Source organism: Homo sapiens, chromosome 4 (genome assembly GCF_000001405.40).
Source record: "Homo sapiens chromosome 4, GRCh38.p14 Primary Assembly".
Classification (NCBI taxonomy): Eukaryota; Metazoa; Chordata; class Mammalia; order Primates; family Hominidae; genus Homo; species Homo sapiens.
The window spans coordinates 93,449,094-93,465,837 of record NC_000004.12 but is presented as its reverse complement, the minus strand read 5'-3'; the positions used below and the strand labels follow the sequence as shown (position 1 = coordinate 93,465,837).

Genomic DNA, 16,744 nt, shown 5'->3' with positions numbered 1-16,744 from the left:
GTGAGTTTATTAGCATATGGCTTTTACTATAAACATTTTCATTAGCTAAACAAGTTTTCCTAATATATTTCCTTATGCTTGATTACACTATGCTTTTTTAAACTAATGCTTATTTTCTGGAAGTTAATGATGAATATTGAAGGATTAAACAATATGGCTGATTCTATCTCTTGCCGTGGCCTTTGGAAACAGTGAGGAAAAAATAACTATAATGTTCTGTGCCGACTTTGTGTCATGAATACAGTTCTAATAGTTTTATATCCATGAGTTCTTTTAATTTTCTCAAACACCTGATGAAGTCAGTAATTATTATCTGGTGAACTGAGTCACCTAGAGGTTAAAAAACTTGTCAAATGTCACATAGCTAGTAAGTGGTAAAAAACAGGATTGTAAACTGAGCTGTCTCTTAAGGAAACACAAAGACATGAAAAGAGTAGTTTAGTTAGATATTTATGTTACTGAATCTTACATTTTTATAGATAAAAGAAAATTTTAAATAATCTGACACTCTATTGAAGCAAAGATCAAGTGAGTTATTTGAACAATTTCTTTCTTCCTTTGTGACTAGGTAAAAAATTGGCTCATGGTCTGTGTTCCTCTCTTTCAGTATCACAACTTAGTATGTATTTGACCCAGTTGCAGTACGCTAAATAGCAGGATATCTGTGAATTCCATGTTCGTGGTGTCTTGTGTTTCCTCAGCATGACAATTGTGATTCTATGATGGAGCTGCATGCTTCCTAGTTTGTGTCACTTGTGTATTCTAAGCTCCATGAAAACAGCCATCATGCTGTCTTATTCACCTCTGTGACTAGTTAAATAATTCTTGTTTAATATCCAAGTTGGTGTTTACTAGAGAATGAAGAATTTAAAATAGTAAAGGCAGAAGATATACTTTTAGGACATGCTAAAGTAGAGCTTAAACAACGGATATAAACACTAACTGCTAGAAAACAACTGAAGCAGATAGAATACACTGTGCAGCAATCCCAAATGGATTGTTAATTTGGAGTCTAAGATAAAGAGCTGTAAATATAAAGAGACTCTATAAATTTTGGGCACAGTCAAAATCAAAGAACAATTTTATGTGTCTACAGTGCATTGGTGGGTCATGCATTTATCTTTTGTTAAATTTTGACACAAAAAAGAAAAAAATTGCCATAAAAATGTAGTTCACTAGTGACATTGATATATATAATGAGATACATAATGTGTATTTATACTTCTCTATTAAACATTGAATTTTTCTGCCTTATAAATGTGAAAAACAATCAAGTAAAGCTTGTACCACTTTCAAGGGTATTTAACAAAATGTCACAAGGACTTTATGACCAACAATTTTTTTAAAGTTGAAGATGGGGATTTTAAATACAGTATTATGTCCATGATAATTGGGTTTTAAGGATGCATTCTAGAGCTAGGCTAAATGCTAACAGTCTTAATTTTCAAAACATGTTGACTTTGTTTTTGAAGGCTCTGGTCAGTTTCCCATGCTTTAAAAAATATAGCCATCATTATTAAACCTCTAATTACATATTCATAGACAAAGGGGGAAATGGATTCAGGTTTGGGCATGTCAAACAGAAATTGAATTTTCAAATTTATATTCTAAATAATTTAAATGATGTTCTCTACCACCACCTGCTTTCCCTTGAGCCCAATACTTTAACTTAGACCAATCCTAAATCAGCTTTAGGATAAGTTTATGTTGAGGATGTTTGTTCCCATTTTTACTACTTAAGCTGAAAAAATTGTAATATGGTACTGTAAAAACACTGAGTTCTACTCAGATTTCAGACAATACTATTTTAAAGAATCTATAGCACCTGCTTGTTTTTGTTTTTGTTTTTGAGATGGAGTCTTGCTGTGTCGCCCAGGCTGGAGTGCAGTGGCACAATCTCGGCTCACTGCAAGCTCCACCTCCCAGGTTCACGCCATTCTCCTGCCTCAGCCTCCCGAGTAGCTGGGACTACAGGTGCCCGCCACCACGCCTGGCTAATTTTTTGTATTTTTAGTAGAGACAGGGTTTCACCATGTTAGCCAGGATGGTCTCGATCTCCTGACCTCCTGATCCACCCACCTTGGCCTCCCAAAATGCTGGGATTACAGGCGTGAGCCACCGCGCCCAGCCAGCACCTGCTTGTTCTATCATTTAAATTTAGATTTAAAAATATTTTCTCAAAATCACCCTTCAATTTTTTAGTGTCTCTTAGGAAACAGCTTCTTTCTTTTGTTAAATACTAAAATAGTAATTTTAATTATGGAACATATTCACAGGTAGTTCAAAGGAGTCAAAGAAGATGTTGATTGTACTAGTTCTTGTTTTATAAGTAGAAATATGATTTCTGCCTCATGTTCTTTGATTTCTTTTAACTCTTCAAAAGCCCAGTTGAGCATGAGAAAGAATTTTCTGACTCACGTCATGAGGAGTCGGTATCAAGCTAAATAATTTTCAGGGCCATATAGTATGCATATAGTTCATAGCATAATTGCTTAGGAGTTCATCACAGTTCATTAGGAATGTAAACCAATGCATTCACAGCTTAAAATCATGGCACTGTTTTCTAGTACACAAATTACTCCTCACTATTGGTAGAATTTGAACATTCACTTTCAGCATGAAAGTTCAACTTTTTTTTTATTAGTTGTGAAGAATTGTGCGATAAAAAGAAAGAAAATGGGCACCTCGTCATGTTTTAAATCAGCATGGGGCAATTCTCAAGTGGATGTGACAGCACTCAGAATGCATTTTGGTCCCTTTGTTAAGGACTGCCAATCATAATTAACAACAACAGAGATGTTGTTTGAGCCTAAATAAAAATTATGGAGAGCTGTTTTAATTTAATACCTGTAAGAACACAATGTAGAAAAAAACCTGTCTTTGTAGTCGAGTTAACCTGTCATGGGGAATTACTCTCATTTTTCCTCTGTTCACTAGGGTCAGTAAACAACAGAGCTAGTCAATGTCATTTTTATTATATTCAAATTGAATGTGAAATATTAGGTAACAATATAAAGAAATGGCTTTAGCTACTGCATTCCAAGGCTTGAATCCTTTGAGAGTTTGTAAATAGGACATTGGTAAGTTTCATATATTTGATATCTACACTATTAAAATTGATGTCTTTTTGAGTTATCCTTCTGTGCAAAGTTTTAAAGAGATGGTCTCCCATCAACAATCTCTTCTGTTGCCTAATTCAATAGAAAAGAATGTCTGACTCTTCTTTTTGTGGATATGAGAAAGTTGGATTCTGTATAATAGTGTGATCCATCTGACAGTAGGAAGAACTCTTTATTTTCTTCCAAAAATTGTCTTGGGATTTCAAAATCAGTGGGTTGTCTCTTATGTTAACTCTTGTGCAACAGCATCAAATTATTTTCAGTATTTCTAACACTCCTAAAGGCACACTTTCTATTCATCATTAGCATCTGTGGAGCTATTTGATCTTTAAGAAAACTACCAAAGGAATTTTCCTTCTTTATTCTTTTCAATAATTCTGGCTGCTCCTCTCATCAGAAATGGTTTATTTTGATCTCAATTTGGTTAAGATCCATCGGCGTGATGTTGAACACTCCTGCAAGAACTGTTTTTCTTATTTAGCATCATACTCAAAGCACATAGGCCAGGCATGGCACATAGTATACTCGTGAAATATTTATTAAACCCTAGTTAAGAGTTATTCCTTATTTTCCTTTTGCTACTCATGTTCCTGGCACATTGTTGGTGCTTAATAAATGCTTGCTGCTAAATAAACATATATGTGGTTGCTTCAAATATTTTACATGACTATAAATATTTCTATTTCCCATAATCAGACACAAACATCTGAAGATAATTCTGAAATTTCCCTTTGCATGTAAACAGAAAGCAAATTACATACAACTACATTTGCAAAGTCATTGAAGTCCTCTGGAGACCAGATGATAGAGTCACTGCCAATAAACTAAACATAAGAGACTTCTAAAAATCAAATCCAGTTTCACTTAAGAATATTAATTGAAAGGAGATGTATGTAGACATGGAGATAACGGAGGACATAAAATGACAACAAAAGTTGTATAAAATTGGTCTCTCATTCGTGCATTTTACAACCTAATTCACAAGCTCTTAATGTTCCAGCCAAACAGATGTACTGAGTTTATCTCTATAATGGACCATACTGCTTTTGCACAGTTGGATTCCCTGAGCTATTTTTCCAGAATGCTTTGAAGTTACAGATTTTTTAAAATGTCAGGATTAGTAAACAACTCACATATATTTAACATTTTTCTGCTTTTGGCTGTCCGTGAACTCTTTTTTTAGAAATCTGTCTGATAACACATGAAATGCCTCTTTATCCCTATTCAATCTGGTATAGTGGCTCAATGAAGACTGCAATTCTGAAATAACAGCTGTACTTCCTCTTAAAAGACTGTATTTTTATTGGAAATATCACCAGTTCCAAGTCAATTGCCTATACATGGACACTGTCATTGATTTATTCTCTTTTTCATAGGGTTTATAAGCCTTTTCTTCATTTATTTTTAATCAGAGCATAAAGATGCTCTCAGTGTCTTTTAATGAATTCACCTTTTCATTGTTAGCAAGTGGAAGAATAGCAGCTTTTCAAAGATGAAGTAGCTAATCATATGCGATTCAGCATTATCTGTCATTATAAATTTGTATAAATGTACAATCAACCTGCAGGCTGTGCAACTCATTTAAGGGAGCAGTGGGATAGAAAGGTATTTAACATATTTATAACTTTTGTTATCTGTTGCATGTTTATAGAACTAGAAAAGCATGCTAACCATATGGGTAATTCTATTTATCTTTTTTCCTGGGTGTGCTCCAAAACTTATTGAAATTTGGTCACTTGGAGGAAGAATTCAGAAAGCCAATTCATAAGTATGTCAACGTCTTCACAAATGAGGCTTCAACCAAGAGGATGCCTTACTTATAAACTCCTCTTAGTTTCTTACAACAACTCAGTGGGGACATTACAGATAAATTTCTTTTTGGTTTAGTGAGTTTTAAGTCATTTGTGGATAATTTTAGTGTTTTATTTGAGACTATAATCTAATAAACAAAATATTGCAGCTAACCTCCATGCTTTATTTAGTTAAGTATTTAGCATCCATTCATTAAATTTATCAATATGAATTTATTAAATGCCTAACATGTACAAGGCACTTAACTATAAGCAAAGAGACTACACAGATTAAATAGTACACTATCTTATATTCAAAGGACTCAGGTGGAGACATGTTTAAAAAAAGGAATTACACTATGGTTGGTAAGTACTATGACAAATACATGTTGAGGAGTATAGAAGATGGTTCTCAATCCCAGGAAAGACTTCTTGAAAGTAGAGAAATAAAAGCAAAAAATTAGAGGATGAATAGGAACTTGCTGTATAAAGACAGAGAGTGGGAGTAGAGTCTAATCAGGTTGGTAACAAAGGCACTCAAGGAATTGGAAAGAGCAGATACAAAGGTGAAGAGTTAGGAAAGAGTCTTGTCTTATGGTCAAACCGTAAGTTTGGAGTAACTGGGCAATTAAATGTGAGGCACGAATGGTAAGAGATGAGAACTGAGTGTTGGACAGGAGCCAGGTGATGGAATATTGTTTATGCTCTGAAGAACTCAGACTTCTAAACTGTGGGCATTGGGAAGCCAAGAAAATAACTGAAGAATGGGAATTATGTGTTTATCTTTCCATGGCATGGATAACTTGGGTATATATGCAAGTATGTGAATCGTATATTTGCAGGAGACAACACTGGAAGAAGAAAGACTTATGAGACTCCTATAGTTCAGGTGAAAAATGAGGTAGCCTCAATCTAGGTGACAATCTAGGCTAATCTTTCTAGATAAGAAGAGATTTCCACTTCTAGAAATATTTAGTAGGTAAAATTGACAGGACTTGATTATGGTTGGATATACAAGATGAGAAAGAGGAAGAAATGAAAACTATTTTCAGAGTTTCTAACATGAGTCTGAATGGTTGGTGGTGGATCAGCTGGAATAGAGAATGTGAGAGGCTAAGAAGGTTCAAATTCTAAAATGAATTACATTTTTGGCATGTTCAAATTTATGGTGCCTCTGGTATAGTCAGAGAGTTGCCTAGGTAACAGTTGAATATACAAATCTGAAGTTCAAGAATAGATGATGTAGATCTGGGAGTCATCAGCATATTGGCAGTTGTTGAAATCATACACTGAAAAACTGAATAAATTGGAAGAAGTAAGATGAAAACAGAGGTTAATTATATCTAGGTATGTCACCTCCTATTTCTGGTCAATGCTCATATCTATCAACATCCTTGTCATCCTTCCTTATTTATTCACAACTTTGACACATGGCTCAATTTCTTTTTCTCCAGTCTAATCCAAGCCATCATTACAGCTGGCTCACCTAACCCTTTATCTCTCAGTTCCTTGATCAGCTTTGAAGTCCTTCACCAAATCTTAACATCTGGAATTTGTATCCACATACCTACAACATGTTCTCCTCTATTACATTTCAAAAAAAATTAGGCTTAGATGTCCTATTTTATAAATACAGACTCCAAACTCATTTATAATTATGTTTTCACTCTTTTTCTGTAATCTTATTGAGACCTCTACTACTCTCTCCTAACTACTCTATCTTTTTTTTTTTTTTTTTTTTTTTTTTTGAGATGGAGTTTCACTCTTGTCATCCCGGCTGGAGTGCAATGGCACAATCTCGGCTCACTGCAACCTCCCGCTCCTGGGTTCAAGCAATTCTCCAGCCTCAGCCTCCTGAGTAGCTGGGATTACAGGCGCCCACCACCATGCCTGGCATTTTTTTGTATTTTTAGCAGAGATGGTGTTTCACCATGTTGGCCGGGCTGGTCTCGAACTCCTGACCTCAGGTGATCCGCCTGCCTCGGCCTCCCAAAGTGCTGGCATGTGCCACCATGCCAGGCCTACTCTATCAATTTCTACCCTTACTCTTCTTTACATTCGCATTCTTGGTCCTTCTCTTTCTAGTTCTCCATATACCCCATGATCTACTATTTCAATCAATATCTACATCAAAATGATCTACAATCATTTGTCTTGTTATCCCTTTTTTTACATATGTCAATTATCTGCCGCTGAGTCTAATTCATTGTTTTATTTATTTAGTAAACACTTATGTGACACTTATATAAGTTATATCTAAGAACTTCACAATTTTAACCATTCATTAATAAATTCTCATAAAAACCCATGAGGTGGGTACATCCAGGATGTTCTCTGCAAGAGGAATTCACACCATCACACAAGTTTATGACTCCCAACCTGGAACATAAAATTCTTTAATTGGGATGTTCTCTGTGGAGAAAGCAACTACCATGCTGTGAGAAAGTCAAACTATCCCATGCAAAGTGACCTCATGGAGAGGCCCAAATGGAGAAAAAGCTGAGGCCACTAGCCCACAGACCGCATCAACCACCAGACATGTGAGTGAAATGAACAAGCCTTTGGATGATTTTAGCCTCTGGCCTCTGAATTGTCTAGCTGAAACCTCAGACATCATAGGGCAAAGACAAGCCTTTTTTGCTTCAATAATAAATTTATTGTTAAATCCAACAAAAACCTTTCAAGCCTTAATTTCATTTGATTCTTTGAAAGGTTTAACACAGTCAACCAAACGTATACTACTAGCTGCTCTGATTTTCACTTGTGCATTTATAGTCACTCCTTATCAGGCACCACTGAGTGCTCCTCTATCCATTCCTTTCCTTAGAGCTCTGTCCTAGGCTTTGTATGGGCCAGTGGTCCTCAATCAGGAGTTTGCAATTAAGAGCAACTACTCTGTGTGATCTCATTAACTCCCATGTCTTCAAAATTTCCTACATTCCAATATCTCCTAAATATATATTAAGTCCAGATGTCTCTTCTGTGCATCTGACAAATATATCAAACCACTAAGCACACATTAGTAATACTCTTTTGGATGTTTCACGGATAGCTCAAACTCAATGTGCAGCAGAATGAATGTATCATCTCTCCTGTCATATCTGTTTTTTCTGTTTTATTTTTTCAGTAAATGAGATCCACATCCAATATACATAATTTTCTATTCAAAAACCTAGGATAAAACTTTATCTCCTTTTTTCTTCAGTACTGACCCCCACACCACGCTATAGGTAATCAAAGCCTGTTGATTCCATTTCATCAATACTCTCCTCTTGACTCCCAAAGCTACCTTACCTTTGAGCAAGCCACATCAACTCTTTGCTCAGTTATTGTAATAGTCTTCTAATTTGTCTGACTTTTCACATTGCCTTTTTTCAATCTATTCTCCACATTATAACCAGAATATTTCTAGAGTAAAATTTGAATCTGTATTTTCCCATTTATTATCTTTAAATATCTGATCATTTCAAGGATCAGTTCAAACTCCTTATAATAACAAATGTAGCTTCAGCCTCATCTTTACTAGATCCTCTCTGCTTGGACTATCTTAATTTCTCTCTCACTTCTTGGTCTGAAATTCCATCCTAACCGTTTATGTCTCCTTTTCTCCATTCATCTTCCTCAAGAAGCACTTTCCATAGTTAACTCTGTCTCTCTGTATAAAGTGTTACTTTAAAAAGCCTTCTCTGCGACATTAACATATATTAAGTGCTTCTACACCTATGATCTCCTAACAGTCTATGCTTATCCTACCACAGAACTTTCTACCCACAATTGTAATCCTGTGTTTACATGTTTGTGTCTCATTAGACTTCTGTTGTGGCGCAATGATGGCAAAGACCTTCTTGCTCACCATCATACACTAATTGCTTAGGAAAGTTCTACTTAGATAGTGTGGATTAAATATTTACTGAATTAATTATTAATGAAAGAACTAAAAGTGTCTGTGAAAAATATACAGTAACAGGTAAGCTTAGAGCCCTGGATATGGAAGGGTGGAGGGAAAAGCATGCTTACAAAAGGTTTAAGGGCTAGATTAGAAGTTAGCAAGTCAGATGAAGGTTCTAGACTAATCTTTGATTAAATTAGAATAGAAAAATGAAGTTAAATGGAAGGTCCAAGAGAAAATAGGAATAAAAAGAAAGATGTTATTGAGAGTTGTAAATATTAGCACAAAAGTATAATGTCTCCATTGTAGCAAACATCCTCCTCTTCAATATATGTGTAGAGCTTGCAAGAGACTATCAATTTTCTTACTATTTCATTCTCTATGAGGCAATAGTCTCAAGTAAGGAATGCAATAAATATTATTCTATTTTGAAACAGTGAGAGCCAAATAATTAATTGGACAAGTTTAAAGAGTTGGGCAGATTGGATATTAAATAACAGAGCAATGACATTCTTTAGAAAATAGTGAAATTGTAAGTTAAATCACCAGTAAAGATTACATATCAAAGTAAAAGATAAAACACAAAATTTCTCATCAGTCTCAAATTAACCAAAGTCTTTTCAATGACAATATTTTTAATGCATGAAATAATGTCTCTGAACAAAGAACAAGTCCTAACATTTCTTACATATGTAAATAATTAAATAGTACCTTCTCTGGTAATAAGTAATTTCATCCTTATAAGGCTATTTCTCAGAAAGTCAGAGTTTGGAGAGGAAAATCTGATCTTGATGTTTTCTGTGAGCTTTACCTTTGACATTCACATTTGCCTTTGTTGATGAAATTAAACTTACATCAAAAGACAATGAACCATTATTGCTGGAAACTTGGTGTGTCTGAGATCCACTAGGAGGAAGTAGCAAATGTTCTTTTCTGAGCATTTCTGTGAGTACCCTTTAGAACACTTATTGATGTCAGATACAGAACCTTATTAACTGAATACATGGCTTTGGAAACATCACATTCTATTTTTTTTAAATACTAGAATGTACTTTTGCTCCTTACCTTGTTGTACAAAAGATCCATACACAAACCACATGGAGTTGTAGAGAGTAGTAGACGTCATTGATCCCATTTGTAATCGTGGGGGATTAAGCCAGTTCAAGAGGTAGACCAGTAGACCCACCAGAAGGACTGTGCCAGCAATGCAAGCCCATAGAGAGAGATCAAATGGTGCAAGACAGGCAAACATATCCACTGTCTTTTCAGCCCTTCGAAGTAGTACCCCCACTGAGTAGTCCATGTAACGTGTCGTAAAGTCCACCACATTTTCACGATCTGGAGTGATGGTTAAAGCAGAAATCCCTATGTCGGCTCTCTGAGAAATTGAAAGAGAAAGGAATACATTAACAGTGTGAAAAACAATTTCATTTGTGCCACTTCAGCTTGCCTCGAGGAAAAAAAAATAGATGCCTCAGGCAATATAAATCTTTTTATATAAACTGAAACACTGCATAGACTTCTTACAGAAGAGCTATGTGTGAATTTTGCATTTCTTACTGAAAATCTTGCCCCACCAGAGTCAGACAAATTACCTTGTTCATATTATCAGCATATGTAAAATCAGTGAAGAATATTTCAGACACAGATAACACAGGGAGAAAATTGTCTTTTTTCGTGGGTCATTTTATCAAAGCAATCATTAACAGTAAAGGAAAAGCTTATAATGGAGAATCTTTTCTAGGAACATGTTCCCAAGATATTCAATATGTTCTTAACATGTAAATTACTAGGTGGGCTATTTAGAAACTTCAACATGGCATTTTACCATTGGTTTATATTTCTCTTCACAGAAATTTATATTATTGGGCTCTAAACAGATTTGTTAGAGTTTTTATAGCACTAAGGTGTCATATGCCTAAGGTCACTACTATGATTGTATTGTATAAACTTCAGAAATATTTTAATGAAAAAGTAATGATTAAGGAAAGAGAATTCTTCTTGGAGTAATAATCCCTTTCTAATGTGTCTTCTTAGATTCTCAGTGATAGCACTCTTAACTACAGCATTTACTATTTATTTAAAATGTAACAGAATCTCAGTAAACCAGAGGGTAGATGACTTCACATTTAAACTGCATAATATGATAATACATATTTAAATATCTAAAAGATGTGTCTTTTTTGAAATAATGATCTTCAGCTGTGATTAAAGCTGCAGGATGACCCTTCCAGACAAACAAAAACACTAGTAAATTATTTTTTGAACATTTTCTTGTATTTTCTTTTTAATTGTTTCAGGAAAGAAGATAAAACTTGTGTTTATAGCTTTTGGGAACAAAAACAAAGAAAGATATGAAAAGTAACATCCCTAGTAGAATGCTAAACCAACTTGGATGAATCTAGTCTCAAACTAATAATGCTTTTAAAAATATTCTAGCTAAAGTTAAGCAGTGTGGGTACGTGTTTGTATGTCTGTGTGTACCGAGTTCATATATCTTTGTTGCTAGGCCCTGTGCTAAGTATTTAAGTATTTTTTTTTACTTAGTCCTTACAATGAACTATGAATTATGTGTTTTCCTCTCCATTTCGTAAGTGGAGAAACTAAACCTTAGAAGTTTAAGTAACTTGTTCAGATCTCAGTTAGTAAGTACAGAAGTTAGATATTAAAGCTATGTTTTACTTATTCCGAAGGCTGTGCTCATAATCATTTTACCATATTGCAGCTATCATTCATTTTCCAAATGAACCATATAGTAGGCACTCAGGGTAATTGGTTCTAGGAAATTTTTTATATTAAAACAGTGTGAAATTTTGCTGTTTAAACTGTACTATTTACATTATAACAAGACCATATTAGTATACGTACCATGGATCTACAATTATTAACTGAATGGTATTAAACTTAATAACGCTATATGAAAATGAACTTGCAGAAAAATATTGCTTTCAAACTCATATATGTATTTAATTTTTATAGCAAGATATTGGGAATTGGGTCTTTTCAGATGGAAAATCTAACCTGGATGTTTAACTCCCTTGTCCCGTCTTTTCTGAGCTTTAGTTTAATCTATTTGTGAAATGAATGTAACTGTTCAGTTTCATTATTGTGAGCTGACTCATTTATCTTGATTTTAATGATGAATAAATAACTAAGATTCAATTAGGTGCTCAGAAGATGCATTTACTTTTTCAGGCCATTAAAGTACTATGGATCAGTAATTTACTAATTGATCACTAGTGACCCAAAACATTTAATGACTCAACCAAAGTCAGAAAATTCCACCTGAGGAGGAATTTACTGACAACATGTTGATAATATTTATAAAATGTTCACAAATATTTTTCTAATAAATAATTATATGTTTTACTTTTAAATGATTATAAATTGGAATGGTTACTGATTTTAATAATGGATACCTTTAAATATCACGAAGTGAATTTTTAAAATAGAATAAAAATAGCTAAAGTTTTTTATTTAGGAAAAGGGAGCTGATTATTTGTATGTGCTACACTATTTATTAAATTTAACAATTACTTGTCATATATCTATAAACAAATTCCTAAATTCTGGTCTATTTTCAACATTTGGCTATTCTATTTTCAAGGAGAAATTTCTAGCCTCCCTGTGGGAGGCATATCAGAATCATATAATGAACTTTTTCTAACAAATACACACACTCTCTCTCTCTCTCTCTCTCTCTCTCTCTCTCTCTCTCTCTCTTTCCCATCTCTGAGTTTTGTATAGTCTTCCTAAAGAGGTGCTTCACTCCATCCTTCAGAATCAATGATACAGCAGAACACTGTAATGGATAATGAGTATGTGGTAGTCCTTACTTATATTAGAGGTGCTGCACTGAAGCAAAATTTAAAAAAAGGCCAAGCAAGGACAGAAAACCAAACACCGCATGTTCTCACTCATAGGTGGGAATTGAACAATGAGAACACATGGACACAGGAAGGCGAACATCACACACCGGGGCCTGTTGTGGGGTGGGGGGAGGGGGAGGGATAGCATTTGGAGATATATCTAATGTTAAATGACGAGTTACTGGGTGCAGCACACCAACATGGCACATGTATACATATGTAACTAACCTGCACATTGTGCACATGTACCCTAAAACTTAAAGTATAATAAAAAAAAAAAGGCCAAGGACCACTAATTCAGAAAGACAGTTCTAAAACTTCCTAAATATCAATAAACAACATAACCAGAAATAATCAAAGACAATTATTTATTCTTACCCTTCTTAGGTTTTTATTTATTTGGTCAACTCACTTGTCCACTTTTTACAACGACTTGTCACATCTTTAATCCTACTGTTATTATATAGAGAACATAGAAGATGGGAGATTAAAAATCATACTTATTTCTGTGTTCCAACCTATAGCCCATACCCAGTCTACTCTATTTATCTGCTTCCACAATACAGGAGCTGTCCCCTTTCCTAAGGCTAACCTTCCATCATTAAATGTATCAATCTCTCTCTATTTCAGATACTTAAGTTCCTGTCTCATGCATTCAACATCATCCTATTAACTAGATTTCCCATTAAAAGATTCTTTGTTTCTTGTTAAAATGAAATCAAAGAGATTGAGCCCTTCCCTCTACTCTCTGGTTACTCCACATTACCACATTTTCTCTCCATTTTTATATATCCCAGTCACTCTGAGAAAACTCTTTTTCCCCATATTGTTGGATACCCTATTCCTCATGGAAAAAGTACTTCTTAATTATTGTATTGTTGAACGTAGTGGATATACTTCAAAGCTCATCTAATCAGGTCTCTTGACATTTAGCATTGATGATTTCTCCCTCCATCACAAACACAACTTTCCCTTGAATTTCATGACATAACATACACCTCTTTCTCAGTTCCTTTTTCAAGCTCATGTTAGCAGTTCTCTGGACTTGGGCCTACATCCTTTTCTCATTTGAGCTCTTCTGCCTAGGCAATTCCATCTGTGTTCATTACTGCTATTGTCCCCATCTACACACAATTTACAAATGTATTATTTCTAGATGTGTATCTGAGCTCTGGGATCTAGACTGATTTATTCAACTACATAATTGACATTTCTACTAAATGACTTAAAAATACCTCAAATTTAACATTTAACATGGCCAACATCATACTTATGATATTCAACCAGTCCTCTTCCAACATCTCTTGCTTTAATGGTGTCTTTTTATATAAGTCATAAAACTTGTTAGCTTCATTATCTTCTCCAGCCTATGCCCCCTATCAAATCTATCATTATTGATTTTACCTCCTGAGCATCCTAATATCCATTCATTTCTTTACTATTTCCAGCTTTCATTGTTTTCCTAGGCTCCAGCTCCTTGTAAGACTACCTGAAATCTACCTTTCTTCCTCTTCAGTCTCCCTATTGTAGCCAAAGTAGTCTTTCTATAGAGCAAATCTGATCCTGTCTCCTGCCACACTTTAAAAATTTTCAATGAATTTGCATGGCTCTTAGGAGAAAGATTAAAAACATGGTCTACACACCTTTACGTAGGCTATCCCCAACCTGCTTCAACATATTCATACTGTACCATTTTCCCTTCCAGCAGTTCTTCCTGATGCATGGTCTTTGTACATGCTGTTCCCACAGTCTGGATTGACCCTCCTGAAACTTCAAGTAAACACTCATTTATATCTATATGTCAGCTTGATTTTCATTTTCACAGGGAAGCTATCCACTATCTCTTTGATTGGAACAATAATTTGTTTACACTATCAGAAGTTTACATTCCTCACTTTCCTAGCCACTATGACAGCTGCAATCTTACATATGTTTATATGATCTTTTCAATAATGTTTGACTCCTCCACTAGGCCATAAGCTCCATGAAAGCAAGGATTGTGACTTTTAAAAAAATTACATATCACATTTTCTGGCATAGAATTCATGGTCAATAAATACTTGCTATGAATATATGAATAAATAAAGATGGAGCCCCTACTAAACTTATATTACCTAATTATTATAAATCTCTTCCATCTTTTTGTCTGCATTCCCAACAGAGAGAGGTATTTAAATAATAAAAAGAAAATGGCAATATGAAAATTGACTGTTTTATAGCAATGATAAAAGATTAATATCCTGAATAATTATGTCAATAATTAAAGTAAGGTTCTTGATTTATCAGTATATTTACACTTACATTATTTGCAAATAGCTAAGATAATTAGGCATCTACTATAGAAAATTCAATATATTACAAAATATTATATGTCAAATATTTATTGTAAAATGATTATTTAAATTTTGATTAGGACTAGCACTAAAACTGGAATATAAATACATTTTTAAAATTATTTTAATTATATAGTCATAATATTTTCCTTGAGAGAAGATACAAGATTTGCATTCTCTCAAGTCATGAAAAGGATATGGATGGATGATACAATGGAGCATGACTAATAAGCAATATAATCACTGAATCTTAGAAGCTTAGACAAATTGAAATACATTTACTCTAAATTTAATCTAAAATAAATGATTATATGTAACAACTAAAGATCTAATTTATTCTTGAATATAATGCTAAGAACATTATATTGGTAAGATTAATAGTATGCATTTAGTTAGTGCTTACTATATACCAAGTATCATGTGTTTTACATGCATTATTTTAACATTACACCAAGTCCAGTTGCTTTTTCTAAGATGAAAATTTTGCATTTGAAATATTCTAATTATTATAAAACTTTGATTTTATAATGAATCAATACCTGCTTCCCTGTACTCTTTATTAGATGTTTTAGTTTTGTCATCCATACATTATGTTATCAATCTAAATAGATCTGCCCTATGACAAGCTTTCAAACTTTTTCCAAAGATATGATTTTCTGTCCCTCAAAATACTTGTCATTCTCCTGTGAACACAGTCTAAATAATCAGTTTCCTCAATTGATATAAATTATACACTTTTTAAATAAAATTGGAGGCTGTATCATTTTTATTAGGTGATTTTTAATACTGCCTTATGCTAAATTTAAGGTCAAATAAAATTTTAAAAATATTTTTAAAATAAACACTATCAAACTAGTAGCCCACAAAGTCTTATGCAATTGAAGCAAATGTTAGATTTTATATTTGTCTCTTTAATTTCATTCTTTGGTTCTTTTGTATTTTTCACATCTACTGTAATCTATACTTCTCATTCATTATGTCAACTTTATTTTACCATGTTTGAGCCATTCAGAAGTTGAGGAGCAAGCCTTTAATTCTTCATTCACATTACTAGTAAAGTATTGATGAAACATACATTGGCAAGTTCAAAGTATGGCAATATGCCTCTAAAGTTCTATGCACTTTGATGATAGCTCACTAGTTAAAACTTTAGATATAGCTTTTCAATCACCTATAAATATTCCTTACTACACTGCCATCAAGCCACGTTTGTCTATAGGGTTTAAAGTGCTTTGTAAAAGGCATTATTGAACTCAAAATACATATTTAATCAGATATTCATTTGATCCTGAATAGCTAATGCTATCAAAAACATGAACTGCTATTTTAATCATCTAAAACACATCTGATTAATAATCCATTCTGTAATTTAATCTGAGAATAAAATCAAACTCACTGCTCTATCAGAATGAAAATTTTATTTCTGATTTTGAATATGACAATTCCAAACTAAATATCACCTCTGTTTTTCATGTTTTGTACATATTGCTTGTAGTAATTCACGTATCACTTCAGGAAATGCTTTCATTTCAACTTTAAATATTTTCTACAGAAAGCAGAAGGAAAATAGTTACTGAAGAGTTTTGGCACACATTTCACAAGTACTAGGTCTACTTCTGCCTATCTAACTTACTAAACTGTTTCCTTCTCTTGCTGTTCAAGAGAATAAATTTTTGTAAATATTTGAAATTTCTTGATAGTTTTCTTAAATATTATTTGATTTTATTTGGCTTTTAAATAATAT

General features: G+C 33.6%; 1 protein-coding gene across 17 annotated transcripts in view; it reads right to left on the bottom strand.

Moving 5' to 3' along the window:
* The window catches only part of GRID2 (glutamate ionotropic receptor delta type subunit 2), a 1,506,491-nt gene that overhangs the window by 344,619 nt on the left and 1,145,128 nt on the right, over window positions 1-16,744 (bottom strand). For all 17 annotated transcript variants that reach the window (NM_001440459.1, XM_024454024.2, NM_001510.4 and 14 more), the window contains one exon: window positions 9,864-10,176. In NM_001440459.1, the coding sequence (NP_001427388.1) occupies window positions 9,864-10,176 (313 nt within the window). The remainder of the gene's footprint in view (window positions 1-9,863; window positions 10,177-16,744) is intronic.